At 37.8% G+C, this 15984-nt stretch overlaps 1 protein-coding gene and 1 long non-coding RNA gene across 3 annotated transcripts in view, besides 3 other annotated features; one reads left to right on the top strand and one right to left on the bottom strand.

The window, feature by feature from the left end:
* The window catches only part of BACH2 (BACH transcriptional regulator 2), a 370316-nt gene that overhangs the window by 108843 nt on the left and 245489 nt on the right, over nucleotides 1-15984 (top strand). The gene's annotated exons all lie outside the window — the stretch shown is intronic.
* Nucleotides 2488-3739, bottom strand: LOC105377890 (uncharacterized). Its single transcript, XR_001744258.2, has 2 exons — nucleotides 3613-3739; nucleotides 2488-3486 (listed from the first exon to the last, which is right to left on the bottom strand). It is a non-coding gene; the product is annotated as an uncharacterized LOC105377890 (long non-coding RNA).
* Nucleotides 2521-3720: an enhancer, noted in NCBI's record as "MED14-independent group 3 enhancer chr6:90894000-90895199 (GRCh37/hg19 assembly coordinates)". NCBI's record gives its function as "activates an origin of replication core promoter dependent on BRD2, BRD4, P300/CBP and CDK7 cofactors, and independent of MED14, by STARR-seq in HCT116 cells {active_cell/tissue: HCT116}" and the evidence as "EXISTENCE:reporter gene assay evidence [ECO:0000049][PMID:35650434]".
* Nucleotides 14123-14267: an enhancer, noted in NCBI's record as "145 bp 6:90883525 sequence used in MPRA reporter constructs". NCBI's record gives its function as "activates a minimal TATA-containing promoter with rs10455168 allelic activity by MPRAs in C283T melanocytes {active_cell/tissue: C283T}" and the evidence as "EXISTENCE:reporter gene assay evidence [ECO:0000049][PMID:36423637]".
* Nucleotide 14195: a transcriptional cis regulatory region, noted in NCBI's record as "rs10455168 or 6:90883525 MPRA-significant variant associated with a GWAS melanoma risk locus at 6q15". NCBI's record gives its function as "allelic transcriptional activity by MPRAs in C283T melanocytes {active_cell/tissue: C283T}" and the evidence as "EXISTENCE:reporter gene assay evidence [ECO:0000049][PMID:36423637]".

The raw sequence follows: 15984 nt of genomic DNA, 5'->3' as shown, positions 1-15984 counted from the left end.
TCTGAACTTTGTGATTTTCCGCATAGTGAGACCCGTAGCCTCAGCACTGGGGCACTTGTGCTCTTCTGGGAGCTTTGCTGCTCCTCTAACTGCATGACCTCAGCAGAGTTCCTCTGCCTCTCCAGGCCACAGCCTCTATCTAAAATGTACTTAAAAAGTACTCACACCAAAGATCGGTTGTGAGAGTTAAATGAAACCACTAATGTAAAAGTGCCTACGACAGATCCTGACCCATAGTAGGTGCTCAGGAAATGTTTTAATTTTTTAAAAAACAGAATAATCTGATCCTAATCCTCTGCTCTTCTGGGAAATTCTGGTTCTCAGATTGGTTGATAAGCATTTCAGTTAATCTGTCAGCCTGGCTTTTATGAGTTTGAGTGGAATGACCCGTCTCTGTGAACAGATCCAGATGATTTCTTCATCATGCAAAGCAGAGTCCTCAGTGAGCCTGCGCTCCTGGTGACCCATCACATAGTAGAAGCAGATTGCAGAGAAGACCCTACCAAAAGCCTCAGCTGGCTCGCCCTGCTTCATGACTGCACGGTGATGTTAGTCCTTGTCAGAGTTTTATAGATTGGGCTGAAAAGTTGTTTGTTTCTTTTTTAAACAAGACAATTAAACTAAGTATATTCGTGTACCATAGTAAATGAGAGAAGTATGCATCTCACTCACAATATATTTTTTAGATGCTGTTACCCTGATTTATTTTTACTTTGACAGATACTTCCGTTTAGGGGGTGCTTTCCACAGATAGATTCTGTTGTGCAATAGAATATTCGGTACATTTTGCCTCTAGGTTTCCTCCAGATCTGTCAGGTGGCCACACCCAAGCCTCTCAGTATTGCCGTGTTCTCAATAAGACACTTGATTTATTTATTTAGTAGATGTTCTTAGTTTCCCTCAGGAGGTTTTTGTTGGCAGAATTTCTAATTTTTTATAGGGCATCCTTCTTAATATAGAGGAAGACCAATTATGTATATGCAACAGACTCAAATTAAAAGTGGCATAATTGCGATTATTCATTGCTTTTGATTTCACACTTAATTAGCCCTCTGAAGTGAACAAGTCCTTAGTGGTTAAGAGTTTGCACTCTGAGAGTTATCAGACCTGGGTTCAAATTCCAGCTCTGACACAGAGGCGTTGTGAGACCTTGGTCAAGGTCCCTAACCTTTTCCTAAACCTATCATCTGTAAAATACTGATAGAAATGCTTACCTTCCAGAGCTCTTTTGAGTATTATGTTACATCATGCAAGTGAAGCACTTAACACTCAGCACCTGCTGAGAGCACTTGGTAAATGCTACCATTGTCACGGGGGCAGGGGAGGGGCATGAGGACCGAGCTCTCAAAAAGTGACTTCTCCAGTTTAATTTAATAAGCACTTGGGATTTCACATTTCCTGCATATTTTACGATAACCTTGAAAGGAACAGACTTAGGCCAAATTTGATAACACCGTGTTTTAAATTTCTAATAAGAATACCACCTGAAACCACACTGACAGTCATTTGTAACTTCTTACAGCCACCGTACTAAAAAAACAAAAAGCTACTGTTTATTGATAGGTACATCTTGAGAGTGACTTCAAAAGTTACAGTAACCTTGGTTATATTTTAGGGAATATAAGAACTCTGAAAAGAACTTTGTGGGGTCTGGAAAACACTGTAAATGGAAGCCGCTTCATTGGATATTACTCTAGTGTTGTAAGAGTGGTTTGACTTAGGGCTGTTTTGGTTTCTTAAGTGGAACATTTTTTGTGTGTGTCTCCCTGTATTTTATATTAATTCCAGGTCTGAGTCAGTGGCGAGTCCAGTAATTGAATTAATATGGAAATCAAACTGTAAGCTCATCCTTGGAATTACATTCATTATATAACATGGAAATGGGCTAAAACAGAGAAAATTACAGTACTGTTTTACTTTCTACTTTAAATATGGTAGAGGATCGGTCTCTTCTATGAGTGTATATGCTGCAAAAAAATTTTTTAAAAGTAGCCTATTAATACACTATGATTTTAAAGGGGGAAAACAATGTATGTTCTTATTCTGTGTCACTGTCCAAGCATCAGTAACACTAAACTGGCTGCCAGAGTGAAAAAGAACCAACTACATTTGCGTAATCATCATAAAAATTATATTCTGTCTACATTTTTAATTGAGCCAGACATTGCACAGAATTAGACACAGCCTTTGCTCTCTGGGAGTTTACAGTGTAAGACAGAAGATACTAATGTGTGTAGACGTGAAGACCAGTTGAATTTAACATTTTATAAACGTGGTTGGTTCTATTTTATGCCTTTCTGGCCTTCCCCAACCCTCATAACCCATCATCAGATGTCGTTTCATCCACAGGTAATTTTCTTCTTAATTTAAGTAACCTTATTTCTTAACTATGAAAATAATATATGTTAATTTTAGAAAAATTGGAAAGTAAAGTAGAAAGAAAAAACAAAAATCATGTATAATCCCACAACCACAAAAAGATCGTGTTATATTTTAGTGACATTTTTAATGTATCATCTTAAATGTATCTATATATTTTACATAATTGGGTTCTATAAATGCAGTTTTGCCCTGTGCTTTTTTCACCTAATGTATCTTTGCATGTTTTACATATTAAGAATTTTTTTAAAACACCATTTTAGTGATTTTATAATATTAGGATAATTGGAAAATTGAGAATCCAGCTTTCGGTCCCCTGAAACAGACATTTAATGTGTAAAAAGTCAAAGGATCATTCCAACTGTTCACCAGCCCATCCAGACCTGTTTCCGAGACAGAGCTATTGTTCACCTAAAGTGGAAGCTCACCCGGCTCTGCATATTTCCTCAGGCTGGTTGGCTGTTCCGTGTCTGTCTCCCCCCATTGACTTATCAGGCTCTATGCATACATGCACATTTGTTTATAGCAGTCTTCCTGATACGCAGCCACGCATGGGTTTTGGAAAATTGCCCAGCTACATACCATTCATACCGGCTGACATTCAGCTTCTGGTAGCTAAACAGGTACTCTTAACTCCTTCAGTCTCTAAAGAACTCACTCTACAGTGCCACAGGCCATGGAGCTAACATACTATCCTCTGAGAGTTTCTATTCATGGACACAAATGAAAAGAGAAGTAATGGCGCAAGTATTGTGAGAGGTTACTTGTAAAAATCACCAGCCCTCTGTTTGCCACCCCCTTAGCCATACCATAGGCAACTGCTTGAGTTTGTCCTCCTTCAACCTTAAGGTGATGTTTCCTGAAGCACTTGGAAAGCAGGTAGAGTCTGCAGGGACTTCCCAGGAGTGACAGAGACCATCCCTGGCCTCCTAGAGGATGGGTGTGCCCCTGGGCTAGGGCTTACCCCTTGTATTAGGAAGAGTTGCCTCATCATCCCTGAAGCCATTTCTTTCATGAAACTTCATATGGTCCTCCACTTCCCCCGGGAGCCTGCTTGTCTTCTTACCACTTCTGTTTCTTGTGGAGCATCAGAGTAGAAAGTCCAGTCTGGGTGAGTGGCAGGAAAGCAGCAGTGAAGGGGTGGAGGGAGGAAGGTTAGCCAGAGAGGTGAGTGAGATTGCAACAACTGTTGATGAGGTTCAGAATCTTTCTTTTACCTCTGCCAGCTCTTACCTTTTTTTCTCCAAAAGTGATTTTTACTCTCTTTCATCAGTCTTCCTTGTATGCAGGAATCTGAAGAGGAAATATTCACAATAATAGCATGAGGAAGGAGGACCCTAGATAAAGAGGAGATGTTAAAATGGCGTTTATTCTAGCTACAAATATCTCCACTGAGCATGTTTCAGTAGTTAATCAGAGCTTTCTTGCCTGGCACTTTTTTAAATGATATCATTATCTGGCTTGCTATTTCAGCAGTTCCAGGAATACCTTGCCTGTGGGTCAGGGTACTTGGTTTCACATAAACAACTCATAAGAACCCTTTATAATTTCAGAACGACAGACAAGAGAAGAAATAGCTATAGAGGTTATATGGACAAAAAATAAATTGGCAACATTCCTCACCTGTCTAACATAGACACTGAGAAAAGACGTCCTTTGCTACCTCTCATGGTTAAATGTTGTTTATTGTTTCCTTTCAGACCACACTGAATTTAGTTCCTTGGTAGACTAAGGCACCTTTGAAATTCCAGTGGGAGATCATGAAGTACATGCCTAATTGCTTCATGGCTGATATGAAGTCCTGGAATGAAATCCAGCCATCACTCATTAACTAACTCAGCTTAGTAAACCTTGACAGCTAACAGAACCCAGTCAAACATCCTTGATTACCAGCAGCTCACAGAGCCTGGGGAGTAGATCAGGAAGAATGGTAGAGTAGAATGAGTTATTCCAGTAACATCAGCTTCATCTGTTTGAACTTCTCTTCCTGAAATCTGAGGGTGACAGAAATAGATTTGCCAAATGCTTTTCCTGCTTTCACTGGTGGCAGTAGGAACAAATAAATGACCATTGTCTTAATTGGGATACTATTCACGGTTATTGACAAGCATAATCAGTTTTTGTTAAAACTTTTTGCCTGGCTTAAATCTATGCTAGATCATAAGGGAATAAATGTTATTAGGCATGTTAGAATTTCACAGATCACACTTCTCACAGCAGGAACCTACAGCCAGTCAACAGTTTTACTGACTGTATGTTATATATGGACATTTGGTCAAGGCATAAACTCGGTTACTATCTACTGCAAAATCAGTGTAAACATAATGATAAATCTGGTTGATTGATTTGCTTTCTGCTTCATACAACAAACCAGGTAATGTCTCTGAAAGCAAATACATTCTAAGTTGTATATAAATATCAGTCATTATTATTTCAGTAGATAATCTCACACTGAGGAGGTAAAGGTTGGTCTGAATTAGTAAAGAGGCCTTCCGTGCACACACACAATACACATCTGTCACATTCCAGCTATGATTTCACACTGAATGCCAGCATTTGAGAGGGAGTGAGAGGATTTTCCCTTTGTTTTATAAAAATGAAAACATTATGTGGTGTGTTCTCAAAATATTAGTGCAGTTTTAAGTTCAAAATATCAAAGGTATAATTGCTATACCCAGGTAACAAACCTGCACATGCGCCCCCTGAATCTAAAATAAAAATTGAAATTATTAAAAGAATTATTATTCCCATAAACTTACAAAAGAACTTTTCATAGCTTGTCCTGCTGTTGCTGAGTTGGGGAAAGGCGAGAGTGAAGATCCGCTGTGTGAGGTGTAGCCTCTTTCCTGGTAGTGATTTGGTTCATATTATTTAAAAGCAAGGGATTCTTGGCCTTGTGCATGGAAGATTGCATGTTCATTTGCCTCAGTATTGGACCTATGACTTATTTACCTTGTGAATTAATACGTTCTCAATCTCACAGTTTCATGGAACCAATATTTAATTGAAGGCTATAATGTGCCAAGCACCATGCTGGCCACTGGAACAAGGTGAGAGTGAGACCATACTCATGAGGTCTCCAGTGGAAGATCAGTCCCTAAGCCCATAATCAAAGCCTCAGTGAGCACTGCTAAGAGAAGCCTGTCCTGATTCTTGAGGGCATGCAAAGGGTGAAGCAGTTCTGCCTGGATGAGGTAGGAAATCCTTGACGGAGAACGTGATATTTGAGCTGCAACTTCAAGAATATGGAAGGGTTTTCCCAGCAGAGGAAAAAGATGAAGGACATTCCAGATAGAAGGAACAGTATGTGATGGGCCTGAAGGAAAAAAGCACACCACGTGTTCAGGGATTGACAATATGTTTCCATTTTTAATTTACTTGAGAGAGAGAGAGAGAAAAGTGTCTTTGATTCTGAGAAGAACAAATCAATAAGAGTTACTTAGCAGTGGTGATTAAAATTATGTATCTGTGCAACAGAGGGTTGCTATCAGCATCAACCAAAAGCCTCATGTCTGCAGCATCTACCATGCTATCATGCTCCACCCCAGAAGTGAGAGGTTCAAAGGACGATTGGTTGTTTTGAAAGCAGCTCCTGAGATTGACGAATAATGGTCAGGAACTCCATGCTGGAGAGGCCAATTGCAGGGCTAGTGAGTCCTGCCTGTGAATCCATAACCATCCTAAATCACAGTGTAATCCTTCAGGGCTCAGACTGCAGAGTCAGAGAGACCTAGGTACAAGTTCTGGTTCTTCTGCCATTAGCTTAGTATGGGACTTGGGGCAAGTTTCTTTCCTTTCTTAAAAAACAAAATAATAATAATAAGCCTGAGCAACAAAGTGAGACTGTGTCTACAATCAATGAATCCATCAATCAGTAGCCAGGCATGGTGGTGCCGTAGCTGGTCCCAGCTACTCAAGAGGCTGAGGTTAGAGGATTGCTTGAGCCCAGGTGATCGAGGCTGCAGTGAGCTGTGATTGTGCCAGTGCAATTGTAGTTCACTGCACTGTAGTTCAGGTAACAGAGTAAAACTCTGTCTCTAAAATAATAAAATTTAAACATGTAATATTATATAGCTGTACAATACAAATGATTTTATATAGGTACATAAATGTGATAATAGCATATACACTTTTTGGTTCCCCATTTTTAAAAAAAAAACAACAACTTTTCCTCTTTTGTCTGGATCACTCTCCTCCTCTTTTCCCTTCTCCCATTTTAACTGCACATATAGCCTTCCATTTTTCCCCTGTTTATGTAAATGTACAATTACACACACACACACACACACACACCACACAGTGGGAGTGAGGGGACTGTTATTTTGTTTTTAAAAAACAAAAACATGTTATAGAGTGTTCTCAAAGTGTTAATGCATTAAAACCACAACAACATACCACCTTACCCCAGCCAGAATGGCTATAATGAAAAAGTAAAAAAACAATAGATATTGATGTACATATAGTGAAAAGGGAACACTTACACACTACTGGTGGGAATGTAAATTGGTACACCCTCTGTGGAAAACAATATGGAGATTTCTCAAAGAACTAAAAGTAGATCTACTATTCAACCCAGCAATCCCACTACTGGGTATCTACCCAAAGAAGAAGTCACTATATAAAAAGGACACCTGCAGGTGTATGTTTATTGCAGCACAATTCACAATTGCAAAGATACGGGTTCAACCTAAGTGCCCATCAGATGATGAGTGGATAAAACATGTGAGGAATGTGTGTGTGTGTGTGTGTGTGTGTGTGTGTAATACACATAATTCCATTTCATTCTGTTTTATGGCTGAGTAGTATTCCATGGTGTGTAAATAGAATGCATTCCATTCCATTGGACTGGTGTGTATTCCACACCACACATTCCATTCACACAGTATGGAATACTACTCAGCCATGAAAAAGAATGAAATAATGTCTTTGCAGCAACTTGGATGGAACTGGAGGCCATTATTCTAAGTGCAGTAATTCAGGAATTGAAAGCTAAATACCATGTTCTCACTTATAAGCAGGTGCTAAGCTATGGGTACACAAAGGCATACAGAGTGGTGTAATGGACATTGGAGACTCAAGAGGAGGAGGTTGAGAGGTGGTTGAGGCATGAAAAGCTACCTGTTGGGTACAGTGTACACTACTTGGGTGACAGGTACACTAAAATCCCAGGATTTACCACTATACAGTTTATTCATGTAACCAAAAACACTAGTATGCCTAAAGCTATTGAAATAACATTTTTAAGTATTAGTGCAATTTTAAGTTCATAATTTTAGAGGTATAATTGCTATAAACTTAGAAACATTTAAACATTTAGCTATTTATATTTCTTTTATACTTATTTAACTTTGGAATTTTGAATAATAAATTTTACTCTTAGTTTTTTTGTGCATAATAGTTTTTATATTGATTTTAATAAGTAACATCAATATTTTAAAAAGTTAAATTTTTATTTTTCATATATTGTTTCTTGAAAGTGTATAGCATTTATACTTCTGAAATTATTAAAGTTTAAAATGCACTAAGACTTTTAGAATTCCCTGTTAAACATTCTTTTTTTATGTTTTGCTCTTCTCAGAAAACTGTGTTGAAATCTCTTCATTCAATTGATAAAGCTCTAGAACATTCTTTTTAATGGGTGCATAATATTCCAGTGGGGTAACTATTAGAATTTTTTATTCTACAATTGCCCTACTCATGGATATTTACTTTGGTCTCAGTTTTTTTGGCCATTGTCCACACTGAAATCATAAACATCTTTGTATTTGTTCTTAGATACAGTGCTATTAGTTCTATGGCATTGGTTCCCAGGAGTGGGATTGCAGGATTAAAGAGTAAATGTAATTTTAAATTTAATAGATGATACTATAAATGGCTTTAATTAATCATAATACCTTAGATTTTAGATTCATTGAAAATAACATTCACATGCATTATTTCTTTGATGCCCACAATAACCTTTGAGGTAGATAGAGTGGATATTATTCCCATTTTTCTGATGAGAAGATGGAGGCACAAGATGCTTCATAGTTTCTTATAGTTACTCAGTTAGAAAGACCTTCACTCCAGTCCAGAACTAAGCCTTATCCTCAATAAGCTCCATACAGTCTTTCTTTACCTACATTTTTTGTTTTGGTAGATCAGTTAGAAGAAAACCTTCCAAATCCATCAAGTTAAGAAAAAGAAAGGTACCTTTGGTTATGCCACCAGGAGGGGGCAGTAGTTGAAACACATTTATTTTTCTAAATATTAGCACCCCAGCCCCTTTTAGGGGTTGTATCTTTGTTTCTTTGATATTTGTAATGTCTTAATTTTAGTTTTAGGTTACTTGTTTCGTCATTAAAATCTTCATTATGACAGATGGATACATTTCATTAGTGATCAATTTCTTCCCATTTTTTTTTTAATTTATAGAAATACACACTAGAGTGTCTCCCAAGGGTTGTAATGCACATTGTTTCCTTGGTTCCCTTAAAGAACTCCTTCACATATTCGGAGTCTGACTGACTGTTCAAATGCCACTTTTGCAAACTTACTGGCAATGTGATTCGGGGCAGTTCATGTAGTGCTCAGTTTCCTCATCTGTAAAAAGGGGAGAACATACCTTCCTCCTAAGTATATTTTAACGAGTCATAAAAAATGTAAACCATTTAGCACAGCATGTATCCCAGAGCACAGGCTCAGTACCTACATGTGCATATGTGGTCCCCTGCGGAACCAGGCTAACACTGCTGATAGTAACATGTTGAGTCCAGCCATGTCTCCCAGGAACACACTGGGTGGTATGTATTTTTTAAATACTTTGCATCTGTGCCATTCTCAAAATGCCATCAAGCTCCTCTGCATTTTGTGCCCAAAGCAAGTATTGATGCAGCACAGCTCCTTAAATAAAAGTGAAATTATAGGAAGTCTCATGGCATTTCTGGGTACTTTTTTTTTGAGTGACAAGTGTTTAAACCACAGTGAATACTTTGGTTCCTGCAAGGGTTTGATTGAGAGGAACAGCAAAAAGAAATTTAGTTTCTCTTCCTCCAAGTGAACATTGTTTTCTTAGCTGTCTTTTTTGGGAGTTGGGAAGGAGTGGTTACTGAAAACTAATAGTGTGTGTAAATAGGAGCGAGGAGTACAGTTAGCGTTTACGCACTATTACTAGTAGACACGCCCCAGAAATGGGCTCAGGAGACATCTGGGAACAAACAGATTTTTTCCCTTCAAATATGTTAAGAATCTTTTTGTTTCTAGTGGGAACAGCTGTAGGATTCAGCTGTTTGTTTGTAATCTGATGTCTGAGTGAGGGATGATGTTTAAGATGTAGTATACTAATATACAGAATGTCATCTTAGGTAATAGTGAGGTGGTGAGGGAAGTGGAATGAAGCTGGGAAATTCAGTGTTAGAGCTGACATTTCATTCTCTCCGAGGTTTGTGAAAAGGCCACAGCAAACTTTGCATTTCCCCAGGAAGGAGGGCGGAGGTTCGGTTGGTATCACACCCTGCACATTATTTAAACACTAGCTTGTTGATTTTCTCTTCTGTGAAGAGCAGTTATAGAAAGCGTGTTTCTGGCTGACTTCATCCTGGTTCCCTGCTATTTTGGTCTACAGCACTTGGGAACAGGGAAAGTCCGGGTACCTGCTCTGTGCTGAGAACAAAAGTGGACATTTTCTTGACCAAAAGTGGCTTCTGGCATCCTTTTTCAGAAGCAGTTTTTCAGTGAAGGAAGAGATGTTTCAAGGCCAATATCTAGAAAGAGTACCTAGGTTTATGATTCACAGTACCTTCTTATCAGCTTTAGAGGTCCTTAAGAGTGAGGATATGACATGGGATCTGTTAAGGATGGCATTTCCCCCATGAGGAAAGTGAAGCCCAGAGAAAGCCTGCGACAGCCCAGAGTTGAGGTTAATCAGTGGCAGAACCAGAAACCCCATGTCCTAATGCCTCCTCTAGCATTCTGCATAAGCTTCACAGCCTTCAACCCAGGGTGTAAGTTGGGGGAGATTTCATACGATCCGATCCACATTTCGTGCATTACGTTTCACCAGAGGCCCAAGGAGCTAACGTAGGCAATGGTGTCAGAGACCCAAGTCCTAATCAGAATTCTACCACTTACTAACTGGAAGGTCCTGGGGATGTTAACCTCCTAAATCTCAGTTTCCTCGTTTGTAAAAGAGGTAATTATAAATAGTTCATTGAGTTGTTGTGGGAACTCACGTCATAACATTTGAAAAGCTTAGTATGGGATCTGCTGTACGGTAGGTGCTCAATAGATGATAGTTTTTTTATGGGTCAGGTGCTGTGCTACCCACTGGAAATACAAAGAAAAAATAAGATACCATCCCTGCCCTCAAGTAGTCTGCAGTGTAGTTGGGAAGACAGACATACATGTGAATAAAATAGTGTGCATTGAATGTAATGAGAGCAGCAAGGTGGTCCATAAAGCGAGCAGACTGCAGTTGTTTGAGGAGGCTTCAGAATGAAGTGTTGCACAGATTTTTGAAGATGAATAATAGTGTTAAGGCAGGCAAAGATTCTTCCTTTCAGAAGGAGAAAAGAGTACATAATGTGCTAATACCTGGACCCATGAAATAATATTTTAATATTAACATATTAAATTAACATATTAACATGGAGTTGGAATCAGTTTACAGTGCTGTGGTCTAAAGTCTCCAGCCAGAGAAGCCAGAAGGACGGCAGAAAGGAGGACAATCTAAGTGGCTTGGAGGCTACTCTGGGTGGATATGGGTCAATCCTGAAAGGTTTTTAAGCTGGGAAGTAATATGGTGATATTTGTGTTCTATAAAGATTACTCTGTGGCTACGTGAAGCATGAACTGGAGGAGGCAGGAGCAGGAGGGCTGGTAAGACATAATGAGGGCATTGCATCTGGTTTGGGCAATTGGACTCTGTCACCAAAACTGATTTGGAAGTGATGATGTTGAGCAGTTCTGACGCTTGTAGAAAAAGTGGAAGGAGGTAAGGGTAGGTGGGGATACACACACATTTTTTGGATGGGCCCCTCTTTTCTGCCCCTACATCCCTCTCCTCCGGTGTGTCGTTTCCCTGATCTACTTCAACCTGCAGATCTATCTAGCAGGCACCTCACTTGGGGATTTGTTCCCATACCAGCAAGAAGCTTATAAATTCCTCTGTTAGGCACCTTAAGCTGGTTGAGGTTGTCCAGGTGCCGTGAGGTGCCTCAGAGCTGCCCCTTCCCAGTGTGCACTTTCCACAGCTATCTCCTGTTTTTCGACCACTGAACTCTCAAACTCTCAGTATTTGCATATTCTTGTTTCCTGTAAATTTGCTCCCTCCTTCACTAATCTCTGCTCGCCCTGAGCTCCAGAATTGTCATTCCTGGAGACCTTGGTTAACATCTGAAACTCCTGCTTTGCTATGTGTTTTAAGAATGTACATGTTGGATATGTGATAAAATCAGTACAGCCACTGAAGGGGAAATGAGAACAGGGCTTGGAAGGAAGAAATTTGTTACATTCACAGGTCCCATAGAGGCGTGTCACCACATGCTACGCAGGGCCACAAGGGAAAACACCCGTGTTAGTCAGGAGGCAGAAGGCAGGAGCCAGGGGAGAGCTTGGGCCAGCCACAGCCTTTATTGGAGTTTCCAAGGGAAAGGCAAGGCAGGGCAGGGTTAACAGTTTAGAATTGCTAGTTGAAGTAGTTTGGTTAGGCTCCAAGCTTTCTGGGTGGTCCCTGCTTGCTTGGTACCTGGCTGTGGTATAGTAAAGGCAGAGAAATATTGCCTCTGAGGGCCAGATAGAGGAGGGGTGTCTCTAGATTGGTGAATTTTCTTGTCAAAGGCATGCTACCAGCCGGGCTCTTTGTTATCTCTGAGAATCGGCTAGCCTTGAAAGAGACAGTCTCTCTCTAGCCAGAAAGGTAGTTTTAAGATGTCAAAACATCTAATATGCAGAAAATACAAAATATGTAAAATACATAATGATACCTTCTATTCTTAGTCAACCTGTTTGCCTGTTTATTGATCTGAGATCTGATTTCCCAACCCCCAGCCACTCACCCCCCACCGCCCCAACACTGAGAATTTTGAAAAATTCTCTTTCAAAAGAAGGGATTAGGTTTTTTCCACCAAAAAGTTGTTTTTAATATGAGAAGTCAAGCCTTTTTGACATTTCTTATTAGTTAATATTCTTTCCTTACCAGTTAATTGTTCATTTGTTGTTTTTCTTCTGTCTTATACAGGCAGTTGTGAAAACAAAATGGTTGTATAATTTACCTTTAAAACCTACCAAGAGAGTTTCTTATGATTTCAGTGTAATAGGAAAACCATTGTATAAATGAGAACTCTCAACTTTCCTAGAATAAGGAATAAGAAAAAATAATAAATATTAATTTCAAAACTTAGATATAGAAAAAGAACTTCCTAAATGCCTGTGTTTTCCAACTTGAAGTAACATTGACTTTAAAATGCATTTCTAACAAAGTTCACTCAGGTTCATTTACTTCTTTAGATTATGAAGTATATCATACATGTGGAAGGGAATATATAACATGTAGATACACTTTAAAGGATTAAATAAAGAAAACATCCACATTTCTGCTACTCATCTGAAGAACATTATCATTGCTACTGAAACCCTTATGTACCTCTCTCCTATTGTTTTCTCCTCTCCCCAACTACTTTCCTGGATTTTGAGTTACTTACTGTCTTGTTTGTTTGCTTTTTTTTTTTTAGTTTTACTACATATGTACCACATATAATTTTACCATATATATATCCCAAAGCAATATACTATCTCATTTTAGCTTTTATGTAATAGAATCATACTGATTATTTTGTGACTTGCTCCCCACAAAACACAATGTTCTGAGTTTTATCCAGGTTGACCTGTGTAACTTTAGTTCATTCATTTTCATTGCTATAGAATATTTTATTGTGTTTATTTTACTGTAGTTTATTTAGCCATGCCACTGTCAAAGGGTCCTACATTTTATCATGTATATGGAAACCTTATTGGCTTCCTTATTAATAAAAGTAATTTGTAGATTCTTTATATCATTTACAAGTAATGATAGTTTTTTTTCCCTTTCCAACCCATAAAATGTTAATTCTTTTTTCTTGTCTTACTGAACTGGCAAGAATCTCCAATGTTAAATTAAAATAGTGATAGATAAAACTTTAACTTTTCATTTATATTATAAAGTATGGTATTTGTTATAGGGTTGCTTTGTGATATCCTTTATCCAGTTCAGGAAGTTTCTTTCTATTCTTTGTTTTAATCATGAATGATGAATGTTGTATTTTATTGAATGCTTTTTCTATATTCTTTGAGATAATCATATATTTTCTTCTTTCATCTAGTGAATAACACTGATTGATATTGAAGCAACCTTGAATTATGGAATAACCCAAATTTAGACACATTATTTTTCTTTGGAAATTATTAGATTTGAATTACTAATATTTTGTTCAGGATTTTTGCATTTATGTTCATAAATGAGACTGTCTTATGGTTAGTTTCTCCTTGAGGTTCTTTTATTTTTGGGTTTATATATTTTTGAAGATACATTATTAGGAACATATTATATCTTCCCAGGGAATTAAATATTTCTATTAATATGTGATGGCCCTTTTTATCTCTTTGCCTAAAATTAACTGTGTATGGGTTTAATTTAGCTACACCAGATTTCTGGGTTATTATTTGCCTACGCAGTTCTTCCCCCAGCCTCCTTTATTCAAAGACACAAAAGGCTTTAGATTTGTGCTTTGTAAATCACATAATTGGAATTTGTCTTTTTACTAGCTTTATTAAGGTATAATTTTCATATGATCAAACTCACATATTTTAAGTGTACAGTTTGATGAATTTTGGCAGGTGTGTATAGTCATGTAACCACTACCACAATAAAGCTATAGATATTTCCGTCACACCAGAAAGTTCCTCATGCTTTTTTGCTATCAGTTTCCTTCCCTCACGTCTGGCATTAGGAAACTACTGATCTATTTTTTATCACTATGTTATTTTGTCTTTTCCAGAAAGTCATACAAATGAAATCATACAGTAAGTAGACTTTTGTGTTTGGCTTCTTTCACTTAGTATAATGCCTTTGAGATTCATTTATGCTGTTACACATATCAGAGTTTCATTCCTTTATATTTTTTCAGTATAATTTCACTGTATGGATATACCACAGGTTTTTCGTTTGTTTGTTTTTTAGCTATTCACAAGTTGATGGATATTTGGGTCATTTCCAGTTTTTTCAACTATTGTGGATAAAGTTGCTATGAACATTCACATGCAAGTCTGTGTGGACATATGTTGTCTATTTTTTAATTCAATCAGTCATTGTCTTTTAAGTAAAATATTCAGTTGATGTATGTTGTTTAGCAGATTACACTAATTATTGATTGCACTAATGCATTTATATTCATTTTGACCATATTATTTTTTGCTATTTGTCCTGCTTTTCCTGAGCCTTATTTTTTCTTTATTGCCTTCATTTGGATTTTGCTTTTGTTTTTTTTTTTAAATATAGTTCCATGGTTTTTCTTCTACTAATTTAACAGTTGTACACACCATTCTCTTTTTTCCACGCTTACCCTAGAGATGTTGGCATCCTATGTAACTTAATAAAGTGTTACACTAAACAGTATTCATTCTTTTCTCAAACAGTTCAGTAACCTTAGAGTTCTTTAATTTGGATCATTCTTTTTCAGCCTAACATGCCATGGTTATTTGGTTTATAGTTTTATATTATTTTTTATATTACACATTATTACAATTTGTATACAGTAGCAGCTGTTTTTTATACTCTATTTAAACATAGTCATGTATTTACTATTTTCTTTTCTCACCATTTCTTCTTCTCAGATCATCGCTGTTTTCTGAAGCATGTCCTTTAGAAGTACCTTTAATGAATGTTTTTGGAAGTAAACTTTCTTATTTTTTGTTTGATTGAAAATACCTTCTATTCATGCTTTATTTATGAAAGGTAGTTTTGCTAGGTATACACTTACATATTCAGTATTATTTTCTTTCAGTGTTTTAAAGACATTTTCCCCAGATTTCCCCCAGAGCTTTTTTTATGATGGTCTTCTACAGTTTTACCAGGCTTTGTCTGGGTGGGCATTTCTTTTATTTAACATCCTTGGGATGCATTTGGCTTTCTGAATTTGATGATTACTAGTTCTGAAAAATCTCAGAAAAAAAAATTATTTTGAATGCTGCCTTTCCCACATTGTCTGTTTTTTCCTTCACATTCTGCCCTTTACATCTCTAAATATTTCTTTTATATTTTCCTTCTGTATGTTATGTATAATGTCTTTTTTTTTTTTTTTTTTGAGATGGAGTCTTGCTCTGTCACCCGGGCTGTAGTGCAATGGCATGATCTCGGCTCACTGCAACCTTTGCTTCCCAGGTTCAAGCAATTCTCCTGCCCCAGCCTTCCGAGTAGCTGGGATTACAGGCGCATGCCACCACGCCCAGCTAATTTTTGTATTTTTAGTAGAGGTGGGGTTTGCCCATTTTGGTCAGGCTGGTCTCGAACTACTGACCTCGTGATCCACCTGCCTTGGCCTCCCAAAGTGCTGGAATTACAGGCGTGAGCCACTGTGCCCGGCCATATAATTT

The sequence above is a fragment of the Homo sapiens genome, chromosome 6 (assembly GCF_000001405.40).
Source record: "Homo sapiens chromosome 6, GRCh38.p14 Primary Assembly".
Taxonomy (NCBI): Eukaryota; Metazoa; Chordata; class Mammalia; order Primates; family Hominidae; genus Homo; species Homo sapiens.
The sequence above is the reverse complement of the archived record's forward strand: the minus strand, read 5'-3'. Positions and strand labels throughout refer to the sequence as shown.